The 11078-nt window shown below is 42.8% G+C and overlaps 1 protein-coding gene across 1 annotated transcript; it reads right to left on the reverse strand.

Annotated features, from left to right (window-relative positions):
- Nucleotides 860-7634, reverse strand: CLC (Charcot-Leyden crystal galectin). The gene is made up of 4 exons (NM_001828.6): nt 7543-7634; nt 4602-4678; nt 3888-4098; nt 860-1110 (listed from the first exon to the last, which is right to left on the reverse strand). The coding sequence occupies exons 1-4, from the start codon at nt 7555-7557 to the stop codon at nt 985-987; spliced, it is 429 nt and encodes a 142-aa protein (NP_001819.2). The 5' UTR covers nt 7558-7634; the 3' UTR covers nt 860-984.

Here is an 11078-nt window from a genome sequence, read left to right on the forward strand (position 1 = left end):
TTCTGAGATCAATGGTTAGGATTTACTGGGTGAGGGGAGGCAGTGGAAATGGAGGTGTCCTAACCTTGTGTCTGTGGGTGGAGATGAATGAGGCCTACAGGAGAGACCATCAGTGAGAGCTGTCATTGTGTGCCCTGATCAAAGGGTTTGCCTTCTATCCGTCTATGACCAAGATTTACACTCTGTAAAGTAGTATCTCCCCTTTTCACTGTTTGAGCCTACAGCTTCTTCTCTGTGAGTGACTTTTTCCTTTCTCGGTTTGCAAAGAGGATGGGAGAAGGGCATGGTCACCCATGAGCATTCTTTAAATGAACAAATCAGATTTCTGCATTTGGGCTCTACCTTTCGAGAAATGGTGTTGTATACCCCTTGTTCCTGAACTGAGGGGACGAGCATATGAGTTTCTTTCTCTGGAGATTTTCTTCTTGGCATTTTTCCTAGTAAAGTGAAGGGACATATGAGATTTGGAGTTCAGGTAGGGTAATGGGAGCCCCCAAGTGTTCTTACTCCTCTGTTTTCAGTGTAAAGAGTGAGGTTCCTACTCAGTTCTGCTCAGCTCAGACCCAGCCCCACCCACCCTGTCATGGATCAGTTATTCAAGCCCCCAATCCCATTGCTTACACCTCAGTGACTCATATGAAATTGGGTAGGGTTGGTTCAGAGTGTCTGACATATAGTCGATGCTATAGAAGGATGTGGTTGCTAATGCCTTCTCAGACATTTCAGTGGCCTTTTCACTTACTTTTTGTGTCTCAGGAAGATTTATCCTCCTTGACTTGTTCACACCATCTATAAAATCCCCCAAGCCCTCTTGATGATGACCACTTTTTCTCCCCATGAAAGCAAGAACCAAATTCTGTGAAGTTTGATTAAGTTTTAATGAGCAGGAGTAAGGATTGAAGTGAGAAAAGATCATGCTGTTAGCTGGCTTTGGAATCCCAAGTTCACGTAGAGACAGGGATTCCTTGGCAACATGAAGTCTGGTTATCTCTTTAAATAGCTGACATTAAATTTGGTCAGGGAGATATCTCTCCACACTTGCACCATCTTCACAGCCTCAGGCTTGATTCTATGGTCAAAGGTGTAAGAGGATTGGCCATTGACCATTACCTACAGAAGGAAAAAAATACATCAGAAAGACAGTATTTCACCAAACAAGCTTTCAGCCTGCTCTCTATGGTGTCATAGTACCTGAAACATCCAACCAGAAAATGCCTCATTATATATCTGAACCCAGTAGACACACTTCTTTTTTACAGACTACCTGTTGTAACTATCTGAGACAGTTGCTCACTGTATTTTCAATGTTTCCTCTCATTTCTCCAGTGAGGCTCTGTCACTCTCTGTCACATGGGCCATATTTGCTCAGCCTCCCCTCTATCCTGGAAGATCTCCAAGGCCAGGGACTGTGTTTCATAAACTTGAATCCCTGCATCTTGCACAGGGCCAGCCACAGGGTAAGTGCTCAACAATGTCCACTGAATGCACACATTTCAGTTACATAAATTATGACTGCTATTTGCTGCTGATGACCCAGTTTCTCTCTGGAATTGCTCATATTTGAGCTAGTGGCGGCAAGGAATGTAACTCAAGTGTTCTTAGAGAGGTGGGGCTGGATTAATGTTACAAAACATAGGATATTATCTTTATTTATTTTTTTATGGTTATTAAATTATTTATTTATTATTTATTTTTTTTATTATACTTTAAGTTTTAGGGTACATGTGCACATTGTGCAGGTTAGTTACATATGTATACATGTGCCATGCTGGTGCTCTGCACCCACTAACTCGTCATCTAGCATTAGGTATATCTCCCAATGCTATCCCTCCCCCCTCCCCCCACCCCACAACAGTCCCCAGAGTGTGATATTCCCCTTCCTGTGTCCATGTGATCTCATTGTTCAATTCCCACCTATGAGTGAGAATATGCGGTGTTTGGTTTTTTTGTTCTTGCGATAGTTTACTGAGAATGATGATTTCCAATTTCATCCATGTCCCTACAAAGGACGTGAACTCATCATTTTTTATGGCTGCATAGTATTCCATGGTGTATATGTGCCACATTTTCTTAATCCAGTCTATCATTGTTGGACATTTGGGTTGGTTCCAAGTCTTTGCTACTGTGAATAATGCCGCAATAAACATACGTGTGCATGTGTCTTTATAGCAGCATGATTTATAGTCGTTTGGGTATATACCCAGTAATGGGATGGCTGGGTCAAATGGTATTTCTAGTTCTAGATCCCTGAGGAATCGCCACACTGACTTCCACAATGGTTGAACTAGTTTACAGTCCCACCAACAGTGTAAAAGTGTTCCTGTTTCTCCACATCCTCTCCAGCACCTGTTGTTTCCTGACTTTTTAATGATTGCCATTCTAACTGGTGTGAGACGGTAAACGTTAGACCTAAAACCATAAAAACCCTAGAAGAAAACCTAGGCATTACCATTCAGGACATAGGCCTGGGCAAGGACTTCATGTCCAAAACACCAAAAGCAATGGCAACAAAAGACAAAATTGACAAATGGGATCTAATTAAACTAAAGAGCTTCTGCACAGCAAAAGAAACTACCATCAGAGTGAACAGGCAACCTACAAAATGGGAGAAAATTTTCGCAACCTACTCATCTGACAAAGGGCTAATATCCAGAATCTACAATGAACTCAAACAAATGTACAAGAAAAAAACAAACAACCCCATCAAAAAGTGGGCGAACGACATGAACAGACACTTCTCAAAAGAAGACATTTATGCAGCCAAAAAACACATGAAAAAATGCTCATCATCACTGGCCATCAGAGAAATGCAAATCAAAACCACTATGAGGATATTATCTTTAACAGCGTATAAACATAGAAAAACACCTCTGACTTTAATCTGAATAAAATGTGAATGTTTTGGCCTACCCATTTGAAATGTCAGAAACTTTGATCACATTCTTTATTACTGAGGCTACACAGGGAGTCATATTTTAGGTTTCATTCTCAAATTTAAAATCCATACAACTTTGAACCAGTTATTCCTTTTCTTTATAATCATGTTCCAATATAAATAGGGAAAAGTTGGCAATGAAAAAAGGGTTGATTAGAAAGCTTAATACAGTAACATTTGTGAGAGCAAAACATTGGAAACCAACTCAGTGCTCTTGTAAAGGGTCAAGTACAGCAAGTTGAGGAAATCCTTCTAGGGGAATATTATGTAATCCTTAAAAAAATGAGGCAGCACCATGGATAGATTATTTCTCCAATATATATTCTTTGAGTACAACTCAACTGTCATTCCTAAAGTGTAATGTGTAGGGACATTGATACCAGCATTTGTTTAAAAACAAATAAAAGTGTATATATGGGTGTATGTATATGCTTCTATAAGGATAGACTATGGAAGAAGAGTAGAGAAGCTAGTAATATTGTTCTGAGGATTGGGATTGAGGAGTGAGAAGTCTTCATATTGGACTGACTAAAACAATTTTATTCATGTGTATATCTTATCCATTTAGCTACATGAAAATTTAAATAACATCATAAGGGGAAGATAGAGGATATTCTCCATTTGGGGAAAATGGCAAGTGAACCGACATTGACCCTGGTCAGGTATGGGAAAAGAGCTGAGGATGGCAGTGCAAGGAGAGGTGATGGCAGAGCAAGCAACAACACCTGTTGAATGAGAGAGGGAAATGATAAAAGTAAAGGGAACCCCTGTGTGTGTGATAAAAAGCCTGGGACAGGGGGAGTTATGGGTGATGAAAAGCCTGGGATAAGGGGAGTTGTGGGTGATGAAAAGCCGGGGACAGAGGGAGTTATCTGGAGTTAGGGCATGAAGAGCTGCCTCCTGCTCTGAGATCCCATGGAAGCCGGGTGCGGGGAGCTCCTGGGGTGCTCACCTGGTACTTATCTGGCAGCACTGAGATGCTCAGTTCAAATTCTTGGCCATCCTGAAAGGGCATATTCTTGGATTCCACCTGCTGCTTCCAGGCCCCATACTCACGGCTGTTCATGACCACACGACGACCAAAGCACACTTGGAAATGGAAGACAATGTCTGATTCCTCCTTCATCTCAGTGTGGAAATCCACCTGCAGATATGGTTCATTCCTGAGGGCAGAGCACACAGTGTTGAGCAGGTCCCTTTCTTGTGGGGCACACACAAGACACACACACAAGTCTCTTTGCCCCTTCCGTGGTCGAGCAAAGACTTGTTGGTATTCTAGGCCTTGTCATTGTGGGGCTGCTTCAGCTCCTTGTGTTCTCCATGGGTGGAAAGAGATGCTCCAGCCCTCATCCACAGATGGAAACTGAGCCATAGTCACTGACTTGGTCATATGAATTGCCCATTTTCTGAATATTCTATGCCTTTTAATAGATAAAGTGTCACAGCCCCAAGCCTTGAGTGTCCTTTACTCCTAGACCCATGACTAGCCCCCAGTGCAGCTGCTGTAGGTTTTGTTCCTGGTGCTGGAGGGTCTCCAGGACCTGCACATTCATGGCACTTCCATCCTGCCAACTAGACTTTCCACATGATTCACACATGAGGTCACCCCCTTAGAAAATATTCTTCCTCTTCTCCACCTCCCATCTTTGCACCATGGAGTACTCACAAGAAACAGGCAAGTGGTCGCCCTTTGATTGTCACAGTAGAACCAGTAGACAAAGAGGCAGCCTCTGTGTATGGCACCTGCCAGGGGATTGAGAGTGGGTGAGAGAGGCAGGGCCAGGTGTGGCCTCCCCTCCTGTAACAGATTCCCATGGTGCAGCCAGTTAGAGATCAAGCAGTAGACTCAGGCCTCCCTGCTCCCACCCTACCTCAGTCAGGACCCCGTATTTTTCAAAACAATGGGGCCCATGGTTAAGAGCAGAGCTTCAGAAACTGAGCTACCTCAATTAGATCCTTTATTGTGCTGACTACTAGCAGTGAGATGTTAACATGTTTTGAACCTTTTTTTTAGACAGGGTCTAATTGAATCACCCAGGCTGTAGTGAACTGGCACAATCACAGCCCACTTCAACCTCAACCTCCCAGGCTCAAGCCATCCTCTCAATTCAGTTTCTTGAGTAGCTGAGACTATTGGTCCACACCCAGCTAATTTTATACGTATTTGGAGAGTTGGGGTTTCACGATGTTGCCCAGGCTGGTCTGGAGCATCTAGGCTCAAGGGATCCTCTTGTCTCAGCCTCCCAAACTCCTAGATTACAGGGGTGAGCCACTTTGCCCAACCAGCAAGGGGACCTTAGATCTATTGCTTAAACTCTCCCTGCCTCAGTTTTCCCAATACAAAGATGATAATCCGAAATACCTACTTTGTATCATGTTTTCAGTTATACAGTAGTTAATAGATGTAAACCCTTTAGCCTAAACCCTGGCACGTATAGGGCCTGTTGGGGGTCCTCTATCTGAACAAGGAGGGTCCTTGTGGAACACTGACCTGCGATCATCTTCAACTCTGAAACTGTGAAAACAAGATGTGAGGATGTAACAGTAGAGAGATTCACTCCAGTAAGAAACAACAACTTTGGGTTAGTTTCAATTTGAGAACAGCTACAAATAATGACACTATAAACATTTCTGTATAGGATTTTCCATAAACTAAAGTGTTTACTTGGCTAAAATCTGGTGAGTAAAGTGTTTCTGTTTGTTTGGTGATTTTATGTTTAATTTTATGGGAATACCAAACGATTTTCCAATGTAGCTGTATCATTTTACATCCCTCCAAGCATCGTTTGACTGTTTCAGGTACTCTGCATCTTTTCTAACTTGAGATTGTGAGTTTTATTTTTTATTATCATTTTAACCACCAAAAAAAAAAAGAAAGAAAGAAACAACACTTGTTGAAAGAGAGAGGGAAACGAACAGGAAAGAACAGGAAACCCCTGTGCGTGGGAGGCACATACATCACAATCATCATGGGCAATGGACGTCCTTCCCAGAAGGGGCACACATTGCTGAGAGCACAACCGCAGTACTTGCACAAATGAAGATTGTGGGTCAGGGAAGTTATTGGCTAGAATCTATAAATGGATGGTATTTTTCTTTTTTGAAACAGGGTCACACTGTCACCTAGGCTGGAATGCAGTGGCACCATCAAAACTCACTGCAGGCTGGGCGTGGTGGCTCACGCCTGTAATCTCAGCACTTTGGGAGGCCAAGGTGGGTGCATCACTTGAGGTCAGGAGTTCGAGACCAGCCTGGCCAACATGGAGAAACCCCATCTCTACTGAAAATACAAAAATTAGCCAGGAGTGGTGGCACAAGCCTGTAATCCCAGCTACTCGGGAAGCTGAGGTATGAGAATCGCTTGAACCCGGGAGGTGGAGGTTGCAGTGAGCCGAGATTGCACCACTGCACTCCAGCCTGGGAAACAGAGCGAGACTCTGTCTCAAAAAAAAAAAAAAAAAATTACTGCAGGTTTGAAGGCCTGGGCTTCAGTGAACCTCTTGCATATGCCCCCCAGCAGCTGGAACTACGGTATGCAACACCACATTCAATAAATTTTTAAATTTTTGGAAAGATGAAATCTTGCTATGTCTCCCAGGCTGGTCTACCAGTCCTGGCCTGACATGGGCCTTTCAATTCGGCCACCCAAAGTGCTGAGACTACAGGCCTCAGCAAACATCTTGATGAATATCCACTGTAAGCTCTGCCTTGTACCTTCCTGGTTTTGGGTGATTCAGTCTCTTAAATCAAGTCCCTCAATGTCCTTCTCTAGCATCCTGGCACTCAATGGGAAGGCCAGGCTAGGGTAGGAGACAGGGAGAGACCTGAGGCTGGAGGCAGGAGCCAGTGGTCACTGTGTGCAGATTCCACCTAAGGAACCATCAGCCCCATCGTCTGTTTCTCACCCCCATTCTGCTTGGGAAAAGGCACCTGAGAATTCATGCATTCTGCTCTCATAAATGCTCAGAGATAAGTCCTCGGTAACTCAAGGGCCCCAAGATCCCACAAGTTCTGTCACCGGGGATCCACAGTGATGCACAAGGGAAGTTAGACAGAGTACTGCTATGTGGGGAGGAACCTTCACATGCACAGAAGGCCACATGCATGTTCCCAGTTCAACACCCAGTCACATTCCAGCACACACACTCACAGTCACACAGAGCCGTGCCACTCACTGAGTCACACACACCTGCTCACTGTGCATATAAAGATGCTCATGCACTGGTCCGGCTGTGCTCACACACACACTCACATCACAGTCATGAAGACAAAACACAGTCACCTGATTACAATCACTTACACACCCACCCATATCCTGGAGGGCCATACACATCCCGTCTAAAGTCACATCATTTTTAGCAGAGTTTACTCTCATCAGATACCATCACATGCTCACAGAGGGTCACAATGTTCCAGCATCCACACCCCCTACCCCCCTACCCCAGGAGCATCTCAGATACCATAGCCCTAGGGTCTCTCTTCCACACACCCACAACTCTCAGTAAAGCATTCACAGTAGAAATTTTCATATTTTCATCCCATAAAATCTCCCTCTTCCCTTTTCTGTGTGACCTGAGATTATTGAAGGCTGTGCCTTTTTAACTCACGGGTAGCAGGGACATTGTTGTCTCCTTCTGGGTGGCTCTTCTGAATTGTGTCCAGACTTCTGTGTGAATCTCTGAGCTGCAGAATTTAAATGGCCCCTATCAGCCCTGCCTCTGGCTTTATTCCTGATTCCAAGCCCCTCCCAGGAAGGTTTCCTCACACAGTGAGAAGGGGTGGGGTGTCAGAAACAGACTCAGTCACAACCACACCTGTTTGGAGGCCTGTGCCTGTGATGCAGCAGAAACGACAGTGAGGGAGGTACTGGAGGAGGAAGGGGTCACCAGGGAAATGCACAGATAAAGACGATGGAGTGAGGATGAGTGGTGTGAGTTCCAGCCTCCATGCTTCTCATGAAGCCTTTTCTCCACTGTGCAGAATCTACCAGGAAGGTGTGCGTTCTCCTAACCTGTGCAATGGTAAAAAGCTGGAGATCCTGGGGGCAAGGCACTTGGCTTTGAAAGAAAATCCTCCTCCTCCTTCTCCAGTGGTTCTGGGAGAGCATAGATCTTGATCATTCGCAGGACCTGGGGACAGAAGTAGAGAAAACACTTGTGTCTTCTTTACCCACCCTCAGATCCCTTGGCTCTGCCAGGTGAGAGCCACTCCCACTCTGTCTCTCAGACACCTGGGCTTTAGGTACGCCCTCTTATTTCCCTATTTCTTTTCATGTGAATCAAAATCTGAGGCTGTCGTTCTCCTGCAGATTCTTGGAGAAAGGTGAGATTTCTCACTCATAAGTGGGAGCTAAGCGATGAGGATGCATTAGCATTAATATTAGTTGTGCTTGACCCGACAATAAATTCCACTTTCCCTGATCTAAAACCTTGACAATTCATTTCCAAGCATGCACTCCAAGATTCTGCTCATATAAATCAGCACAATCACACAGTTCTTTTGGTATATAACGTATTTCCTTAAGATTAATTTGTAATGTCATCCCACTGCATTCCTTGGGTTTTGACTCTGGGTATGGACATGGAAGCAATGAAAAGGGTCAGAGGCCACAATTAAGGAGCTTTGGAAACCCCGTTCTAGGCAACCACCCTCACACCCTGCCCAGAACTGTAGCTTGTAAGAAATTACCACAGAAGGGAAAGAGGAACTGCTTTTCCTTGCAACAGATATGCAATAGAATTTTGAGTAATATCCCAGCTATTCATCTGAACTGGGGAAGAAATATCAGTTCAGGGCGTCTGGCCACCTAGTAAGCTGTGGATAAAGATGTTGATGTTATTTACTTCTCAGGCATTCCAGCAATCCTTTCAGTGATGCAGAGAGATTGATCTTCTTTAACTTCCATATCCTCTGCACAATAGCCCATACTTCTGCTGGTTGCAACTATTTCTTCAGAAATCCATTATGCCCTACGACTTGCTTTCAGTCTTTCTTTTCAACTACATCTTTCCAAGCACACACTGTTCCCCCGAAAAACTTTAGGTTTTGTGTATGAAATTATATAATATCTGGGATTTGCTCTAAAATAATCTGGGGATGACAGTTCTCTCCTTTTGCAAACATTTGAAATTTTTTACAGTACAGTTTTTAATTAAGTAGCCAGTACATAGACTATATATAAAAGAAAAACAAAATTATCAGTACTGGCATGGCTATATCTTCAAGAAATGCTGTAGTATGAAAAGGCATGAAGAAAACATGCATAATACGAGACCAATTATTTTAACGACAAAAAAATAAAATTGATCTCATAAGTACACACAAACATTCATAAATGCACTAGAAAATGTCAAAAGAAGGCATTCCTTGTAGGGGGGGACACTGGGTTTAGAAGAAATGAGGTCAAGGTATAAATCTGTAATGTTTGAATTTTACCCACAAGAAGGTATTATATTACTTAAATGATTTGTATAAACATTTTAAAAATAAAGGTCATAATACAGTTAAAATTTTTAAAAAATTTAATCACAGTTTGGAACCCAGCAACCATGCTTCTTGTTACAGAGCACTCTTTCTATTTTGTGTTCTGTTTTTCCTGTTCCTCCAGCGATGTTCTAACACTCTATACAGCAAGGTGGGTTTGCTCAGTCACCTCTCTATCCTGGAACATCCCTGCACCACATAAATTGCCTGTCACAAGGTAAGTGCTCAATAAATATTCATTGAATGCATAACTTTCAGTGCCATGGTTTTATGCCATGTAGTGATAACCGGTGTTTTCTTTTAAGAAGATCCGCATTTATTCCCTTTCTCCTTCCCTCCCTCCCTTCCTTTCTTTTATACAGAAACATCAGTGTGATTCCTGGCCTTTGTCTTTCCATCACACTCTTCACATGACTGACAGGACAACCCCATGCCTCTACTCTCACAGAATAGCCATAGCATGGCCACTTCTCATTGTCTGCCAGTTCACTGACAGCAGCTTTGTGTTTACTACTAAGTGTCTGGCTCACAGCAGATGCTCGATAACTCCATTTCTAAGAAATAAATATCTCTTCCTGTAACTTCTTCCTGCAATTCAAACCAGAGAGTATTTCTCAGGAATTATCAGTTGATTGAGTGGCAAGGTATGTCTGGACTATGCATTTCATTTGAATCTATTAATAGTTTTATGGCTAGAAGAGAAAATGAAACAAAAATGGATTTTCAGCTGGGTGGAAAAGTTCAGTCAGTAGAACAAGTGAGGGAACATTCTGGGGAACAGATGCAGAGTGTGGGCAGGCTGTCATTATGAGTGTGACAGTGTTTACCAGCTGAGCTGACCTTTGTTCTGATGAAAATCTTGTAATTCACTATCCAAATATCAATTATATCTTTGACATACAAAAAAAACCATCGTATCATTCTTATGCCTTTGCATCCTCATAGCTTAGCTCCCACTTATGAATGATAACATACAATGTTTGGTTTTCCATTCCTGAGTTACTTCACTTAGAATAATGGTCTCCAATTTTATCCGGGTTGCTGCGAATGCCAATAGTTTGTTCCTTTTTATGGCTGAGTAGTATTCCATGGTATACATATACACCACAATTTCTTTATCCACTCGTTGATTGATGGGCATTTGAGCTGGTTTTATATATTTTCCAATTGCAAATTGTGCTGCCATAAACGTTGTGTGCAAGTATCTTTTTAAAATAATGACTTATTTTCCTCGGGGTAGATACCCAGTAGTGGGATTGCTGGATCAAATGGTAGTTCTACTTTTAGTTTCCTGAAGGACTCTCCACACTGTTTTCCATAGTGTTTGTACTAGTTTACATTCCCACCAGCAGTGTAAAAGTGTTCCCTTTTCAACGCATCCCCACCAACATCTACTATTTATTTATTTATTTTTTTATTTTGGCCATTCTTGCGGGAGTAAGGTGGTATTGCATTGTGGTTTTGATTTGCATTTCTCTGGTCGTTAGTGATGTTGAGCATTTTTTCATGTGTTTGTTGGCCATTTGTTTATCTTCTTTTGAGAATTTTCTGTTCAGGTCCTTGGCCCACTTTTTGATAGGACTGTTTGGTTTATTCATGATCATTTGTTTGAGTTCCTTGTAGATTCTGGATATTAGTTCTTTGTTGGATGTAAAGGTTG

The sequence above is a fragment of the Homo sapiens genome, chromosome 19, assembly GCF_000001405.40.
Source record: "Homo sapiens chromosome 19, GRCh38.p14 Primary Assembly".
Classification (NCBI taxonomy): Eukaryota; Metazoa; Chordata; class Mammalia; order Primates; family Hominidae; genus Homo; species Homo sapiens.